General features: G+C 34.8%; 1 protein-coding gene and 1 long non-coding RNA gene across 19 annotated transcripts in view; one reads left to right on the top strand and one right to left on the bottom strand.

Moving 5' to 3' along the window:
* The window catches only part of ZNF385D-AS1 (ZNF385D antisense RNA 1), a 37,171-nt gene extending 31,463 nt beyond the window's left edge, over positions 1-5,708 (top strand). Inside the window, exons 2-3 of the long non-coding RNA NR_046731.1 lie at positions 4,938-5,130; positions 5,377-5,708. This is a non-coding gene — a long non-coding RNA (ZNF385D antisense RNA 1). The remainder of the gene's footprint in view (positions 1-4,937; positions 5,131-5,376) is intronic.
* Positions 1-19,486, bottom strand: part of ZNF385D (zinc finger protein 385D) — a 960,546-nt gene that overhangs the window by 162,034 nt on the left and 779,026 nt on the right. The window contains exon 1 of one of the 18 annotated variants that reach the window (XM_017007200.3): positions 11,830-19,439. The exons of the other annotated variants lie outside the window; for them this stretch is intronic. The gene's annotated coding sequence lies outside the window, so the exon portion shown is untranslated. Of the gene's footprint in view, positions 1-11,829; positions 19,440-19,486 lie in introns of those variants that run through there. 18 annotated transcript variants of the gene reach the window in all.

Consider the following 19,486-nt stretch of genomic DNA (forward strand, 5'->3'; position numbering starts at 1 on the left):
TTGTCTTTGGTCAAGAAATAGAGGGACATACACACAAGAAAAGTCTCTACGTGAATAAAGTCCGCAAATTCCTAACTGAAAAAACTACAAAATAAATGACAAGGTTTCCTGAACATATAAATGGCTAGAAAATAATTGGGGTAAGACCTATAACTAAAGATACCTCAGAGACATAGCAGCCACTTCAAACAATAGGCCTTACATGGTTCTTGATTCTAACAAACTGCACAATAAACATTAGGAGACAATTGAAGGAAAGTAATACTGGATTTTTGATAATAATGAAATACTTTTAAATCTTTAGTTGTAATCATTGTGGCATGATTGTGTGCTTCGAAAAATCATTATCATTATAAATATAGTGAAATATATACCAACAAAATGATATTACTGAGATGTGCTTCAAAATCTTTGAGAGGATTTAGGGGGTAACTGGGTGGGGATAAGATGAAATAAGATTGGTCCTGAGTTGATAATTGCTGAAGCTAAGTGATGGATTTTTAGATTTTCATTATACTATTCTATCCTTATACATGTTCAGAATATTCCATAATAAGTTAATAATATACATGCATCAATTCCATAAATTGATTGTGGATGCAAATATTTATATATAAAATTATGAGAACTAGAATGCAAGGAAGGGCACACACCAAACTCCTTGTTGTTTTCTTTTGGAGATCTAGGGATAGGACTAGGTAAGTGGCTAAAGAGGACTATAGCTAAATACACAATGTTTCATTTTCTTAACAAACATAAAACAACTGGAAGCAAATATGACAAAATATTAACAGTTGTAAAATTCAGAGTGAAACAAATATGGATTTCTGTTATAAAATTTATCATTATTTTCTTTTGAGTTCTTTACAGATACGTAAAAATGCCAATCATTCAGTGTCATGAATGAGTCAAAATAATTTGGAGTGATGTAGCCTTTATTCTACTTTCTATGGGATTTGAGTTGCTACAAAATTTAACAGGAGTATCAGTCACCCAAGACCAAGACCCAGGTCTGTGCAGGGTGGAGGTGGGAGGGTGGTGTTTAATGGAGGTACACAAAAAGTCTTACGGTTACTTTGCTTTTGCCAAATAGCAAAAGATATACACAAGTTCATTTAACAAATAAATTCATTCAACTAGGGACAGGCTTATTTCTATTAATCTCCTAAATCAGGTCAAACCCAAATTTGATGATTTGGTCAAAAGTAGGAAATATAACATGTATAAGTCGCATAAATACATTAAGGGAATAGCATTTTTTAATACACCAAGCTCTCTTTTACCTTTAAGTCATTTGCACTTCCTCTAACTTGAAAACTCTTTTTCCCTGTGCTTTTTAGTCCATCATCCCCTGGCTAGTATTTTCCCAGCTTTCAGGACTCAATTGTGATGTCTCTTTTTGCTGAACTCTCATCTGACCTTCTTCAACCAGGCTAAGTCTTCCCAGGCATGGAAGTACAACACTCCACACCATCTGAAAATGTCTCTTGACTTTTTGTCTCTCCCAAAACAGTAAAGTCAAGGCAGGGTTGGGTCTCATTATTCTTTGTACCCAGCCATTAGCAGAGTGGCTCACACTTATCAAGGGCTCAGTACCTGTCTGTTGAATTGCTAAATAAATTGAGCAACATTGAAACCCAATATCTAAACAGTATCAGCCTTGGTATAGTATTAACAATAGCAGTGGGAAAACCTGGATTCAACAAGAAAAGCTTAGGCTTAAAAAGGTGGAAAGAGCTTAATAGAAGCAATGGCATATGGGAGAATGATTTCATGACACAATATGGAATACAGAATACCAACTCTGTGAGTAAACTCTACAACTGCAAACCACCAAGCATAATTTACATATATTGTCAACTAAACAGTGGAGCAGTTGGTTTATCCGGTTCTCTCATCTATATTTAATGTGCCAACACCAGACTATTTTTGCACCAGGGCATCTTGTTTGACAAAGGCCAACACCCACAGTGGTCCCTTGAGGAACTAAGGAGGAGCTGATTTTGTTCAGAAAATCAGTGCTTGAACTTAAATAAGCAAAGGCATTTAGATGACTTCCAAGTACTCAGGACATGTAATTTAAGAAACATTTCATTGTCAGTAGATTTCTGCTATGGCTGTTTCCCTAATGTTCTATGGTAGCTTAATACAGCTCAAAGGATGGATGAGCTTAAGGGCATCTTCAGACATTATTTTTCTTAGAATCATTTATGTGCTCATGCAAATTACATTTAACCAATATATTGGGATCCTATTGTGGAATACCCACAGACATTTGCACTCTGCTTTTTAAATGGAAGTACGTAATTGTTACCAACGCAATTTGTCAGTTAAGCCCTGGGCACAATTTTAGAACTCATCCATGTGTGATATCTCCAGTGGGTGGAGACTGTGTTTCACCCATGCTCATATACCTGGTGATTCTTATTCCTTTCCCTGGAACCCAGAGCACTCAATACATATTTAAACTTTATTGAAACTTCTCACTTTATAAATGAGAAAAGCTACAGTTAGAGAAAAAAACAAGACTGAGAAAAAAGAAAGGGAAGAAAGTGATTTTGTTCTATTAATGAGCTTTCTTTTTCTGTAACAGGTTTTTTCTATACAATAGAACATTATTATTTTTAATTGATACATAATATGCATATTTATGGGGTAACATTGTGATATTTTGATACCTTTATACGATGTCTAATGATCAAATCATGGTAATTAGCATATCCATCACCTCTAACATTTATCAGTTCTTTGTGTTGGGAACATTCAATGTCTTCTCATTTAGCTATTTGAAGATACAGAATAAGAACTTAATCTATATCTTTAATAAAGTGCTAAAGAACAATAGAACTTATTCTTCCTATCCACCTGTAATTTTGTATCTGTTAACCAATTTCTCCTTATCCTCCTTTTCTCCCTATACTTTGCTGCCTCTAGTTATCACTATTCTACTGTTTACTTCTATGAAATCTACTTATTTAGCTTCCACATATGAGTGATGACATGTGGTATTTGTCTTTCTGTGTCTGGCTTATTTCACTAGACATAATGTCCTCCAGGATCATCCATGTTTCCAAAACTGACAACATGTCATTCTTCTTTATGGCTGAATAGGATTCCATTATGTATATATACCACATTTTCTTTATCCATTCATCCATTGATGGACACCCAAGTTAATTCCGTATCTTAGCTATTGTGCATAATACTGCGATAAACACAGGAGTACAGAGATCATTTTGACATACTGATTTCCTTTCTTCTGGATATATACCGAGTAGTGGAATTGCTGGATCAGATAGTAGTTCTATGTTTAGTTTTTGGAGGAACCTACGTGCTGTTTTTCCATAACGGCTGTACTAATTTACATTCCCACCAACAGTGTATAGAAAGAGTTCCTCTTTCTCCGCAACCTCACTAGCAGGTTATTTTTTGTCTTATTATCATAGCCATTCTAACTGGGGTGGGATTATATTTCATTGTGGCTTTGATTTGCATTTCGTTGATAATTAGTGATGTTGAGCATTTTTCATATACTTGTTGGCCATTTGTATATTTTTTTTCTTTTTTTTTTTTTTCGAGACAGGGTCTCACTCCATTGCCCAGGTTAGAATGATGTGTTGCAATCTCAACTCACTGCAGCCTCAACTTCCTGGGCTTAAGCGATCCTCCTACCTCAGCCTTCCAAGAAGCTGGGACTACAGGTGCTCACCATCAAGCCTGGCTAATTTTTTAAATTTTTTCTTTGTAGAGACAGGGTTGTGCCACGTTGCCCAGGATGACCTCAAACTCCTGGGCTCAAGTGATGCTCCTGGTCCCGGCTTCCCAAAGTGCTGGGACTACAGGTGCAAGCCACTGCACCCCACATTTATATGTTTTCTTTAGAGAAATGTCTATTCAAGTCATTTGCACATTTTTTTAATTGGATTAATTTTTTGCTGTCAAGTTCTTTGAATTCTTTGTATATTACGGATATTAATCCCTTGTTGAATGAATAGTTTGCAAATATTTTCCTTCACTCTACAGGCTGTCTCTTCCCTCTGTTGATGGTTTCTTTTGCTGTGCAGAAGCTTTTTAGTTTAGTATAATCCCATTTCTTTATTTTTGCCTTTGTTGACTGTACTTTTGAAGTCTTATACATAAAATCTTTGCCCAGACCAATGTACTAAAGTGTTTTCCTATGTTTACTTCTAATAGAGTTATAGTTTTGGGTATTACATTTAGATTTTTAATCAATTTCACATTGATTTTTATATAATATATGGGGAGAGATAGGGGGTCTAGTTTTATTCTTCTATATATGGATATCCAGTTTTCCCTGTATCATTTATCTAAGAGACTGTCCTGCCCCTATTGTATGTTCTTGGTGCCTTTGTCAAAAATTAGTTGGCTATAAATATGTGTGTTTATTTCTAAGTTCTCTATTCTGTTCCATTGGTTGATACGCCTGCTTTCATGCCAGAACCATGCTGTTTGGGTTTCTATAGCTTTGTAGTGAATTTTGAAGTCAGGTAGTGTAACGCCTCCAGCTTTGTTCTTTTTGTTCTGCATTGCTTTGGCTATTTGGGGTCTTTTGTGGTTCCATATGAATTTCAGGATTTTTTTCTATTTCCATGAAAAATATCATTGGTATTTTGATAAGGATTGCATTTTTTTAGAAAAGAATAAATGATGCCTGATTATCTTAATATCTATGGAGAAAACTTCAGCATTTAATTTGAACACTGTAGAGACCTTGTCATCAGCACTTAGAGTCTTAGTTCCACTCTTAATTCCTTTCTATTTTGATTAGAATCCTGTTTCTAGTGGCCTCACATAACAAAATCTCTTTCAAAGACAGTGAATGTCTATGATACCTATTGCCACAAAGAGAAGTCAGGTTTCTCGATGTTTATGACTGGTCTCTGAATAAAGTATAATTCTGGTTATTAACCCCACAGCTCCAGAATTGGGATTCTATTTTCAAGGAATGTCCTAGACAACATGGCATTATTAATTGAAAAGGAAATATATTCCAGAAATCTATTCTGTTACCAGCTGTATCAGAATTCCACAGTGCATCTGGTTCTTGGGCAAGTCACTGAAACGTGGGTCAAATGTTGAAAGCTACTGTACTGTGATGTGAAAATAAAGGTAAGGACAATATACTTTAATACATAAATTATAGATGGCTAAATTTTAAGAATTTTCTCTTATTCTAAAATATGTTCTTCTGACTTTACTGTTAAAATTTTCTTTTATGAAATCCTGGTGCTATTAAAGGGAGGGATTTATTCATTTACTTATTTTTTATGTCCAGGTTTGAAAAAAAGTAAAAATGAGAAAGTCCTATATTGGCCTTTTCATATTTATTTTTTAATATTTTAATGTGTTTTCTAGGACAGTTATAACAAAATACTGCAAACTCAGTGGCTGAAAACATCAGAAATTTATCATCTCACATGTCTGGAAGCTAGAAATTTGAAATCCAGGTGCTGTCAAATCCATGCTTCCTCTGAAACCTGTAGGGGAACATCCTTCCTTGCCAGCCGTCTCTGGTGCCCTTTGTCTCATAGGTACATCATTCCAATCCTCCCCTTTTGCATTGTATTCTCCCTGTGTCTCTCTGTCTCGGTGCCCAAATTTCTCCTTTTATAAGGCTACCAATCATATCGAATTACCCTAATGACCTCATTTTAACTTGAGTACCTCTGTAAAGGCTCTGTTACCAACAAGGTCATATTCTGATGTACTGTAGGTTAGAACTTCAACATTTCTTTCTTGGAAGGGCACAATTCAACTTAAAACAAATGGAACGGATGATATAAGAATCTACTAATGACTGGGAAATTTTACTCAGGCATAAGTGCTAGGATATCCTGGTTAATGAAAAATTAATAATTACAATTAGTTTTTCCTGTCTAAATGACTAAAAGGAAAAGTTCAAACAATAAATGAATTACTGAGACTGTTTCTTGCCTGCCCCTGTTCTGGACGTGACCAATTTTAGCCTCAAAGAATTTTGTGATCCCCAAGGGTCTAGGAAGAAGAAAAGAGCTCAAGGAATTAAAGTGTTCAGAGATGAGGAGAATAGACTTGAAATAAGTAGTGTACCAATTAATGGCAGATCTTTACTAACCAGACTGCAAACAATAGATATTTTTGAAATGTCACAAAATTAAAGTTACGAAGTCTATAGAAAACAAATTAAACAATGGCACATTGGTAAGAACCATATAAATGATTATCCCAGTTTTCATTGTTTGGTTGATTATGAAAGACATAAATTGTGGGCAGTACCTAAGCTGTACATTTTTTTCTTGCTTTACTGCCTATTTTTTTCTTTGTTTCAGTCACCATTTAATGCCTTTGGAAAAGTATAATGATGTATGGAATGGCTTTTATACACATTCCTTCTCTGTAGGTTATCTTTTTAACCTTTTCTGCATGACAATTCCAAGATAATATATATATATGAAATTTAGCACATAAGAATATCCTTGTTTTTATGTTTTGCTCAAAAATGCAAATGTACATATATATATCTGAATATATATGTATGTTTGTGTCTATGTGTGTGTATATATATATATGTATATACATATTATTTCTGTGCTGATTTATGTAACCATATTTACCCACCAATTCCCTAGAAAAGGTCCCTTCAATGCTTGTTATTTGGCATTCCTCAATTTCTTTTGTTCTGTGTTTTGGCTAAGGTGGATATTTTCTTGAAATATTCTACTTCTCCTGGCACTGAAGTATTCATTCACTAATTTACGTCCTTCCTCCCACCGTAAGTGCCCTGTATGCCTCTTTCTCTTAGCCAGTGATGTGGAATTCAAGCCACAAGGGACATTTTACTTTGGAAAACACTGCCTTCCAGGAACTAGCCAGGTCTACATTTCTCCATTCATTTTCCATTACTGCTTGCCCCAGACATTTTGCTGCAATAACGTAGACCTGCTGGCAATGCCTTACATAATCCAGTGTATTTTATTGTCTCCTTTTCTTTTCAAAGGCTCTTTCCTTTCTTCAGTCTTTATCACTTGTATATCAGATGTATAATTCCTATCTCTCCCTCCAAATGCAATTGTTTCCAGCAAGACTTCCTCTAGTCTCTAGAGTCGGCAAAGCTAATACAGTCCTTCAAGGCCTCATAGCACCCTATAAATTCTAGTGCCATGTGATTTACCATCTTCTACTGAAATAATATGCTTATATTCTCCCCAACCTAAATTGCAAAAGAGGTAGGGTGTTGTATTTATCTTAAAACAAGTGCCTGATGACAGAGAGGGCTCAATAAAGATTTATTGTTAGAAAAATTATTAGACATGTGAAAACAGCCACCCTAGTCGATTGTCAATCATTTTAAGGAGAAAAAGCTGGTCCAAGATATAATTCTTGGTTGAAGCCACATTGTTCAACTTTGTAGAAGAATTGCATTGTTATCTGAAGGTGACTGTGTTTTGGAGCCTTGATGTAAATATCCAAAATAAAAACTGCATGTTTATAAAGTAAAATTAATAATCTAGCTTTTAAAATGCTTACCAAGTATTTTAGCTATTCTCAACCCTGGCTGTATACTAAGAATCACCTTGGGAAGCTTGTTAAAGGTACAGAGCCAGGGCCCCAAAACAATGCTGATTCAACTCGATGTTTAAAATCCTCCTTAGGGATGACTGAGATGCATTGCTCAAAACATTAGTAATAGAATCACCTTTCTTAGATTAAAATTTTTTTACCAGATGTTTCCAAAATACCAATGTTCTGTCTTCCACCAATAAATAATTTTGTGGCCAAATAATTTTATACAGGGTACAGTATTATCCTCATTTTACAGAAAAGGAAACTGAGGAAAAACCAGGATAAATGATTTGCCATGGTATCCTATATGTTATAGCTGTAAGATTGACATCCAGGTTTATTGAAATCTAATGTTCTTCCTTCACATCATACTGACTCTGAAATTGTGTGGGGTTGGTAAACAAACTTCTGAACTCAATCTATAAACTGGATCTGAATCTGGGTTTTTTGGTGGTTGGCATATCACAAGGCAGAAATGCATACACATTAAATAAAACAAAAACTGATGGAGAAAACTAAACCAGAGCAACTTGAAATAAAACAAGGGCTATTAAAAAGTATCTCCAACAGTTGACTTGCTTTTAATACAGAGTAGGCTATTTTTAATTCCCACCAAATTGCTAAAGCACTAGTTCTCTCTTCTGCATATTTTTTTTCTCTACTCTGCCTATTTTTCACTCATGGGCCTTTCTTAATAAGTTAAAGAAACTAATGTAAAAGTGGACTAAGTCAGAAGCTTGAAACATTTAATAAAGGTCAAGTGTTCAGCAAGACGTTCTCAGTTGTGGAGATAAAGGAAGGATAAAGTCAAGGATATCTGATATTTCTAAAAACCTTAAAGATTAAGTCCACCTGAACCACAGGTGAAGCTAAGCCAGCACCACAGAATTTCTCTTAACCATGTAGGTACAGTCACCTTTTGGTTGCATTTTTAACACTTTTATTTATTTATTTATTCATTCATTCATTCATTTATCCTTTGAGATGGAGTCTCGCTCTATGGCCCAGGCTGGAGTGCAGTGGCGCCATCTCTGCTCACTGCAACCTCCACCTCCTAGGTTCAAGCAATTCTCCTGCCTCAGTCTCCTGATTAGCTGGGGTTATAGGCACACACCACCACGCCCAGCTAATTTTTGTATTTTTAGTAGAGACCGTGTTGGTCAGGCTGGTCTCAAACTCCTTACCTCGTGATCTGCCCTCCTCGGCCTCCCAAAGTGCTGGGATTACAGGCATGAGCCACTGCACCCGGCCTTTTAACACTTTTAATGTCTACCACATAGAAGCATATATACAATTTTTCGAAAAACACAAAATACAGTGCTGTTGGGTGATTGGTGGCTTCCTATATAAACTACAATATAAACTATAAAAACGAAAATATAAACTGTAACCATTTAAACCACTCTTTTCATGGCCCAAAGGGGTTTGCAAACCCCAAGTAGTTTCCCATGAGCAAGCACATTGAGAAACACTGATTTAAGAGGTTATTTTGTTAGAACACTACCTAATACATTTTGTATTTCCCATGCACTTCAAGACTTCCATAGGGGCTCTTAGAATATACTATCATCTTAAAATACCTTTTCTAGTTTTAAAATTTTCTTATCAAAGAATGCACACATAGCAACAAATACAAGGGTACAAAACAGCTTCAGATGAAGAACAAAACTCTCTGCTCTAACCTTCCCAGTCCAGAGGTAAATATTTAAAACACTGATTTACTATTAGGACTTTTTTTCTGCTGATTAACATCACAGCTCTAAATAACATGCTAATATATTTAAATCTCTAGGCGCTAAGAAAGATGAGAATTTAATATGTATATTCTGTCACATTTTTTGTCTTTTTTCCATACTTTTCTACATAGTCTTTAAAAGTTTTTATTCATTTAAATATTGTATTGTTATGTTACTCTACAGTTATTTTTATTCATTCAATATAAATATTAAATTAATATTTTCATTTAAATATTCTATTATGTTATAACTATACATAGTATGTTTCCACTTTTATGTTTGGTTCCCTTCATTTGAATCAGGATCTCAAATTCCCTGAAGTTATTCAATTTTTTTCTTTTCTTCTTCAGTTTCCAATTCTCAAATTATTTCAGCTATACTTACACATGTATTTATTTTACTTATTTACTTATTTATTTATTTATTTATTTATTTATTTTTTGAGACAGAGTTTTGCCTGTCGCCCAGGCTGGAGTGCGATGGCGTGATCTCGGCTCACTGCAACCTCCACCTCCCGGGCTCAAGCTATTCTCCTGCCTCAGCCTCCCTAGTAGCTGGGATTTCAAGCACACACCACCACGCTAGGCTAATTTTTGTATTTTTACTATAGACGGGGTTTCACCATCTCAGTTTGGCCAGGCTGGTCTCAAAGTCCTGACCTCAAGTGATCCGCCCACCTTGGCCTCCCAAAGTGCTGGGATTACAGCCGTGAGCCATTGCACCCGGCCCATTTACACGTTTAAATGTTCAAAAACTTTCTAACTGAAATATTCTGTCTTTTAACTGCAACTCATTGTTCCAGACTTTGTCTGTGAGTGACTTTAAAATTTGAAAGCTAATAAACAACAGTATCAGTTTTAATTTTATTAATATTTTTGTCTGCTGGCTGGATAATGTGACAGAATTAGACTTCTTTTTTACACTTGATCTTAGCCAAAAGGCCGAGAAGCTATTAGACTTCTTTTTTATGCTTTCAATACTACAAATCTTGGCTTGTTCAAAAGGGAATTTTTTAGCTTCAAGCAAAGTAGCTTCTCTTTTCTTATTATCCATCAGTACTTAAAATTCTGTTTTATTTTTGTCTTCTACATATATAAACCATGTTTTTCTAGTTTCTTTTTCCCTTTATTTTCTACAAATAATGTGTTTTTATCTTGATGTAAAACAAATTTTCCTCTTCTTAGTCATCAGTCACCATGTTTTCAGCCCTACTGGTCCCATGCTTTCTGCCTTATTCATCCATCATTCTACCTGCAGACCCTAATTCTAGACTGTCTCCAGGATCTGACCTCACACTCCTCTAGTTTTCTATTCCATGCACTTCATGTACCCTATGGTTTCTAGAAATATTTAAAGCTTTCATCTATTGGCAATCCCAAACACCTCTGGTCTTTTGCAGCTATATTTCCTTTTTGTATCTCTTTAAATTTAAGAAAATCTCCAGAGAAAAGAGATTGTATGTGTAGAATCTTTGTGCCAGTTTGAAATATAACGAATCTTTGTGCCAGTTTTTGAAATATAACGAGAGTTATTTCTAAATGTGTTTTAAATAACAAATCTAAAGAAAAGTAATCTTGGTTCCTAAAAATGTATATTCATCCAAAATACCTGACATCAATAAAGTTTGCAGGTAAAGGATTATTGTTGCTCATATTTGACCATAAAAAACTATTCCATTTAAATAATAGGCTTTCTAAGTAACATTTTGCCATCAAGAACATGATTTAGGATCATGTCACTTCCTCTGAAATCTTCTGGGAACTCTTAGTGAGAGTTACTTTCCTTTTCTTGGAATACATAATTCCTTCCATTATGAAAATAATATATGACAGCTAAAACTACATTTTTAGCTTTTCTCTGTTGCTAAATTTCCTTTGTCTTTTAAGTAAACTTTCTAAACCAGTTCTCCAGATCTTTCTGGATAACCATTTGCATTTTGTAAAGGAATCTTGGCTCAAAATAAGCAAACATAAAGAAAGGCAATCACAATAAAGGAAATGTACTAGTACTATAGATTTCTGTTAATTACCTGGCAAAATAATCTGGCTGCCTACGCACCTCCAGGATAGTGATGTTAACTCTTAAGAAAAACAAATCGTGGATCAAGTGTCAGTCTACTAAGCCAAATTTCAAACTACTCCAAAACATTCCACAGGAAAGGGCCATATACTGCATAACACGCCTTGGCAAAAGTTCCCGTAGCTGTTTTCACTTTATCATATAAATCCACAAAGGAATACATTAAAGACAACACATGGTTCAAATAGGTGATAAAGGGGATAGCTGAGCATGGAAAATGGAGAGATAAAATTGGTCCTAAAGCAATAAGGTATCCTGGCCTGGCGCAGTAGCTCATGTCTGTAGTCCTAGTACTTTGAGAGGGTGAGGTAGGGGAACTACTTGAAGCCAAGAGTCCAAGACCAGTCTCGGCAACATAGCAAGACCCCATCTCTACAAAATTAAATAAATATATTATAAATACAAATACATACACACACACACACACACATTTGGGCATGGTGGCACGCACCTGTAGGCCCAACTACTTGAAAGGCTAAGATGAGAGGATCACTTAAGACCAGTGGATTGAGGCTGTAGTGAATTATATTTGTGCCACTGCATTCCAGCCTGGGTGACAGAGGGAGACTCTGTCCCTAAGGGGAAAAAAAAGAAAGTATGTTGGAATACAAATATTGAGGTGGGTAGGCCTGTATTGGCCTTCCAGAATAGTGCATCCATTACTGTTTTTATCTTGAAAAAGACTACTGGGAAGATTAAATGAAATAATATAAGCAAAGTACTTAAAGCCAGGCATGTTCAGAATCCATAATGGTATTGCGGTTTTCAGACACCATTATCCTTCAGATACTGAGGGCCAAATAAACAGGAGAAGTTATTAGACTCCTATGCTGTATGTCCAATGCTTATGGTCATGATGAAATATATAATCATTAGAATATTCTATATTGATTGTAGAGAGATTAGTTAATATAGTAAAGAACTGAAAACAATGAATTAAAGACAAATTGAGGAGGTTGGGCAGTTTGATAAAGTTGTAAGGAAGAAGCTGAACATGTAGGCTTGCAAGAAGGATGGAATTCAGTCAGTGCTGACAAGCGGGAAGGATGCTGTCTACATGGACAGAAGATGTTTCCTGCATCGCTGCAGAGTTTTGTTCAAGGATGGATATGTAACCTAACTGGGCAGAAAAAATAATGCAAAACAAGTGGTTCTGACCTTCAGAAAATAACCCAGAGTAATGAAGGGTAGACAAAAACATAAATATATTTTAATTAGAATTAGCAAGTATTGAAATAAAGATATAAGTTAAGTACTTGGGAACAGAGGAAAGGGGTTGTTTACTCAGTTTGTGGGCATCCTGGAAGACTTCAAATGAGTGATAATATTTGAGCTGGATGAGTAGGAATTATTTACTTAGAAAGGAGAAAATGATAGAACAGAAACACCCATGTAAACGTATGAAAGAATGTTATGTCAGTAAACGTTTAAAATTTTGGTATGAATGGAGAATAGTATATCTGGAAGAGATGAAAGTGGCAAGATAGATTGGGACACGCAGATGAATTGTCCTGTGTGCTGTGTTAATGAATTTGGACTTTTCCCCTTTTAGCAATATTAGGTGAAAAGGAGCATTCAACTCAAATGTATACATAAGAAAGTTTGTATTTTAGAAAAAAATAATTTGGACAAGAAATTGAAGGAAGAAAGTCAATCTGGAGTTAAAAAGACAAGAAGTTTCGTTTTGTAATAGTCCAGCTGAAAAATACAGGACATAATTCAGCCTGTAGCAACTGGAAGACTGAAGGAGAGACTGGGGACATTTTTAGGATACAGGCTTTTAAGTCAGCAATACCTTTTTGAAATAAGGCCCCAGGCTCATTCTTCTCATTTGGGTAACTGAATGAATAGTGACAACACAGACCATCATATGAATAAAGGAAGAATGGCAAATTTTAGAAGGATGTGTAGACAAGGGAATTAGTTCATATTAGGAACATTAAATTTTATATGCTTTTAGCAGGTTTATGAGATGTGTAGTAGATATGTAAGAAACTTAAAATAAGGTTGAAGAGTTTTAAAATGTGTTCAGTGTTGAGGTTAAATATAAGAATTATTGGTATAACTGAAGACATAAGAGTGAATGATATGTAACAGACTTTGAGTAACGTTAGAAGAAACAGGGCTACCATTCCTGGGAAAGCACTGATGTTTTCAGGGATGGCAGAGAAAAAAGATCCAACAAAGGAGCCTGAAAAGGTGAGAGTGGGAGGAGAAATAGGAGAGAATGGGATACATATCTAAAGGGAAAGAGGACTGAGAAAAAAGGGATTATCAGACAGGCCAATTTCTGTGCAATTTTTGAAGGTTTTTAAAAAGGTAGGTTCTATTATCTCCTTTGGATGCCCAATTTTAGTGCCCATCAGTTTATAATGACTACATTATAAGCATGTAGTCCATGGCAGGCACTGTGACTAAGCCTGAGGATAAAAAGACAAGATAAAGTTCCTGGTCTCAATGAGTGTGCAGTCTAGTGGGGATGACAAATGTATGTAGAGATAAATACCACAGAACACGATATTATGATAATTGCTGTAAAACAGAATCATAATTAGAAACACAAGGGAGGAAATAATGTTGTTGGGGATGGGTCATAATAAGGCTTTATAGTGGGAGAAAAGTTACAAGTTAAGAGCAAAGTTGTTTTCCTCAAGCTTTCTCAGTAGTTTTATTAGGTTCAACTTTTAAGACTTTCATCTCATAGCTAAATGGAAAATTTCTGATTAATTACTAGCTGCTTTCAAAAATTTACCTTTATTTACAAATTCATATTTTATGATTTAATTTTTAGAATGCATAATGTTAATGTGTAAAGACCTGATTTAATAGAAGAATGTATGAAAAACTTAACTATGTCTGTAAGAATAATAAGCATTTATCAAACAGTATATAACCTTATAGAGATAACATATACAATATATATAAAGACATTAAAGAAAAAACTAAGACGTACATTTATGGATAGAAACATTAAAAATAATTTTTAAAAGTCTGTTTTCTTAAAATTTATAGAGTAAATGCCATGTGAATAAAGTATAATATGATTTTTCATAAGACTTGAAAGCATAATTCTAAAATTTACATAGGAGAGGAAGTTATCAAGAATAGATAAACCACCCTTAAAGAATGAGAACATGTAGAGGCCATGACCTACTAGACATCAAGCCTTATTTTACAGCTATGGATTAAGTTACTGGCACTCACCCAGAGAAAAAGAAATAGGCCACTCCAACAGATCTGAAGCCTACAAGCAGATCCATTTTCAAATGTAATATGCTCATACATCCACTCACTCAATTAGTATTACTGAGCATTTATTATGTGCTAGGCATTTTTCTAGGTTTTGGGGTTTCAGCAGTAAATAAAACCAACAAAAATCATTTTCCTTATTGTGTTTGTGTTTTAGTGGGAGAGAGACACAATAAGATAAATAAGACAAGTATACACAAATTCAAATAGTCACAAGAGTATTGGAAAAAATAAGGGATGTGGTATTGCAAAAGTTTGGAAAAGTATTGAATTTTAGATATAAATGGCCATATGTGGCCTCACTGAAAAAAATGACTTTAGAGAAAAAGGCTGAAGGAAGTACAGAAGGGAGCATGTCGCTGCCTGAGGGAAGAGCACTTCAGGCAAAGGCCCAAGCAAGTGCAAAGACCCTGCAGTCGGAGTTTACCTGAGGAAGATATGTCATTGTCATTCAGTGGAGACAGAAAAGACAAATCAATGAATGAGCTGGGACAATTGTTTGTTTACTCTTAAAAATAAAGAAATGAATTTTGTACCCTATACAAAAATTTCTAGTAGATCATAGACTTAAATGCGAAAAGCAAAATTTTTACCTTATAAGAGTGAAGAAAAATATTTTAATGGCCTTACTGTAGGAAAATATTTTTTACATAAGACAAAAAAAGCTTGCAACAGCTTTGAAACTAAGGACATTTGTTCATGCAAAGTCACTGTAAAAAGAACAAAAAGACAAGTTACAAATATGACAAAGGATTAATATCCTTCAAATATAAAGAACTCCAACAATTCAGTAAGAAAATCATATTCTAAGAGAAAATGGATATTTCACAGAAAAGAAAACATACCAATAAACATAAAATTCTTCTTAGTATCTAGGATATTTAGTGAAAAAAAATCAAAATTACTTTTGGATTCTACTTTTCATCTGAAAGATTTACATACATTTAAAAAAATGTATAACAGTAGCAACCACTGATGAAGATGTAGAACAAAAAGAACTCTTATACATCTAGGTGGGAGTAAAAATTAGTAGCACTCTTTGGTAACTTCTACTGAAGTCATGATCCTAGTACTATAAGACCCAGCAATTTCTTTTCTAGGTAATAGACTGTAAAGACTCATGCTAGACTGTAAAGACTCATGCAGCTGTGGACAAGTAGGCATGTGCAAGAGCATTATTAACAGAAGTCTTTGTAACAGCAAAAGCATGGATCCAGATATCCATCTACAGTGGAATAGACCTGTACCCTATGGTCTATTCACACAGCAGATTAGCTACACAGCACAATAAGAAAGGAATGCAGCTAAATGTGTCAACATGGATGGATCTCAGACACATAATAGGGAGTGGAAAAATAAGTAATGGGAGGTTACTATGTTTATGTATATGCTATGCTATTTCATAATAAAACTTTTTTTATTGTGATTACTTCTGACAGAGAGGCAAGGGGATATGACCAGCAGGGAGAAGCACAAATTATTTTAAAAGTGAAAGATAATGTTTAATTTTTTAAGTTGGGTACGAGGTACATGTAGTTTATATTACATTATGCTTTTATAATTTACATATATACTTTGTATATTTGTATACATCAAATATTTTATTGAAGAAAGCAAAATGAGAATTTATAGAATAATATAACTTTATAATGAACGTTTGAAAATTACACCATAAAAAATGAATTACATTGTTTTTATCTGTTGAATTTTCATCCCGAAAAATGGCCCAGACAACCAATCATTTAGTATAGTCACAATTAACAAAGTGGAGGCAGTGAGTGTTCTTTCTTTTTTTCTTCCTTTCATTTGTTGGTGGGAGATGAGCGGAGGATGTAGTATTAAACCCCAAAATTCCTATAATAGCTGTCTAACGCTGCCTAATCAATGAGAAAACCTAAAACATAAATATTCAAATTAATCTCATTTCCATTATATTTTTTAGAAAGTAAATTAAAATATTAAATATGTATACAGCATCTTTATATTACATGCTGGACCTGGTAACCGAAAATAAATAAGTATGAAAAATGTTTCAGGCCAGACGCAACTTCTCACTCCTATACACTCAGCACTTTGAAGGCCAAGGCAGGAGGATCACTTGAGCCCAGAAGTTTGAGACCAGCCTGGGTAAAATAGCAAGACCTTGTCTCCCCAAAAAAAAAATTAAAAATGAGCTGGGCATGGTGACATGTGCCTGTAATCCCAGCTACTTGAGAACCTGAGGTATGAGGATCACTTAGCTGGAGTGTTCAACCTGCAGTGAGCCAATATCATGCCACTGCACCTCAGCCTGGGAGACAGACCACATCTCAAAACAAAACAAAGTTTCATGAGGTTCCTCATACTTTCTTGGAATTAAATTATAATCAACAAAAATTCCATATTATAATTTTTTTTTTACAAGTGCCCCCTCAATAAACAAAATAATTTCACAATATTATATTTTATGTAACCAAAAGGAAATGAGGAGTTTGTTTGTCCCTCTATCACTTAAATACCTCTCAGGAGGGGGGAACATCAGTGAATGGTTAGCAAAATAGAACAAAGTGAAAATGAAATTTAATAGACTTCCAGAATCATTATTCACCAAGATTTACCTTTAATGAGTTGATTATAATGATTAATTACTATAATAATTAATGTTGTTTTAAAAGTCAATATTTTAGTCCAATATGAATATAAATTAATTTACTAGGCATCATAAGTATTTGCTACATTGTCCTCACAAAGAGGAAACCCACATGCAATACATTTAGTATGTATTAACCTGCACAGGGTCACACCCTGAGCCTCCATTTTAGCAGGAAGCACTCCGCTTCTGAAGTCCTAAACTCATTCACTCTGTCCACAAGCTTCTTTGAGTTACAGTCTGCTTTTTTATCTCTCTATATCATGTTTTTAGCCTCATTCAGAACAGTTTTTTTCCAGTTGTAATTCCTTCTCCAATATCTAGCCTAGGAACCTTTGTCTTTCATACCAATGGCTTTCATGTTTCAGTTGCTACACTACACTTCCAGCATATTTTTGTTTAAACTTTTCCATCATAGATCAACCAAACATCTGACTTCTTAGCTATTCATATTATTACAGTTCATCTTTACTGGCTGTTCAAACCCAATACTCCCGTTACTAGCAGTGAGATATGTTAGTTAATCTCTTTAAGCCTGATTATTTATAAATGAGATAATAACATGTGACATATAGGCATGCTGTGGCGATTAAGTGAGATTATATTTGCAAAGGACTTAATTACTATAGTTTCTGGCATAATTTTTTCATAATTATGATTTATGGTTATTAGTTGTTTTCTTGACTTATCTAAACCAAACACCTATGTAGATTTCCTGCTGGTTTCCACATTCTTGCTGCTTTTCTGTAAGATCTTTTATAAGATATGGCTTTTCTTCCCATCACTTGAATGATACTGTTCTTCAGTATTCCATCTGTATTCCAATCTGATGATTTATTTATCTATTGTGATTTAGTATTCTTGTGAAAGGATACTACTTTTTGAATCATAAACAGCAAGAGAAACAAGTTAATGATTGCTACAGATGGCAATATATTGATGTGTCTTGAATTACCCTCTTCTAATTGTGTTCTCTACAATAGGATTTATATTTTCTCATAGAGCTTTTCCTCCTTAGTAATTTTGTCTTCATGGCAAAAAAAAAAAACCAAAAACAAAAAAAAAAAACAATTATTGCATTATGTGTAATTTTCTGCTCTTTGAAAAAGAGAACAAAAAAAATCTATCTGCAGTAAAGCTTATGTTTGCTCAAACTCCCATTCTCAAATCAGATCGTTTAGAGGAGAAAGGAATGGCAACTTCTGTTTTAGGAATTTGAATCCCAGCAACAGGTACATTTCAAGAATAAAACCTATTCCATTTTCTTCTAAGTAGAAAACAGTTAGAATCTGTCAAACAAAGTACAAAACTTCCACAAGGGAAAAGCATTCTAGAACATAAAGCCATTCATTGATCCAAATCAAATGGAAAGGTGGTGGATCTCCTAAGCAGGCCCCTTGTTTTAACATGTTCTATTCCCTACACCTGCTACAGGGCAGCAAGGGCTGAAATATGCCCTGCACAGCAAGCTTCTGACCGACTTGGAAATGACATCATGTGTGGCAGATCCTTGCGTGACCTCAGAGTATCCTCCACACATCTACAGCCACCCGGGAATAATAGCTTCAGGTCACCAAATGCCTTTTCCCCGGCTGCTGTATGTCATGCTTTTGCTCATCTTTCTTTTCTGGTCACTCCCAACTAGTCCTGCTTGAGATCTCTCAACTCAACTCACTTACTGTTTTACAATGAGGACTCTGGCTATCTGTCCTTAAAGGAAGGACCTTGGATGTGATGGCCAAGGGTCTGGGTTTTCTCCATCATTCCCTACCTCTCCTAGCTTCAAGACTGCCTTTAGCAGTTATTCTACCTCCCAATCCATTGCCTCACTTCCTAGACAAATCTTTTTTTCTTTCCGTCTTTACCCTTGAACCAGATCCAACTCAGGGCCAAAACATTAAAAACAATTTCTGAAATGGAAATGGCTCTTACTCTATCCTTTGTGGACAAAGTTCCACGATTAACATATTTTCTATACGAGTTTTAAAAAGAGAAGGCTGAGGAAGGGGCAGAGAAGTAAATAAAAGCCTTTTGCCATCTCTTGCCTTTAGTATTAGTAGTAAATCTTTCTTTCTGAACACAATCCCACCTTACTCAAACATATGTGTGAGCACACACACATGCCAATATGTACACACAATGCATTTTAAAAACATGAAAAGGGTTTATTTTCCTTCTGGATTTTCTAGATATATATTATAGACTTTTTTTAAAAATTACAGTGAACAAC

This window comes from Homo sapiens, chromosome 3 (genome assembly GCF_000001405.40).
Source record: "Homo sapiens chromosome 3, GRCh38.p14 Primary Assembly".
Classification (NCBI taxonomy): domain Eukaryota; kingdom Metazoa; phylum Chordata; class Mammalia; order Primates; family Hominidae; genus Homo; species Homo sapiens.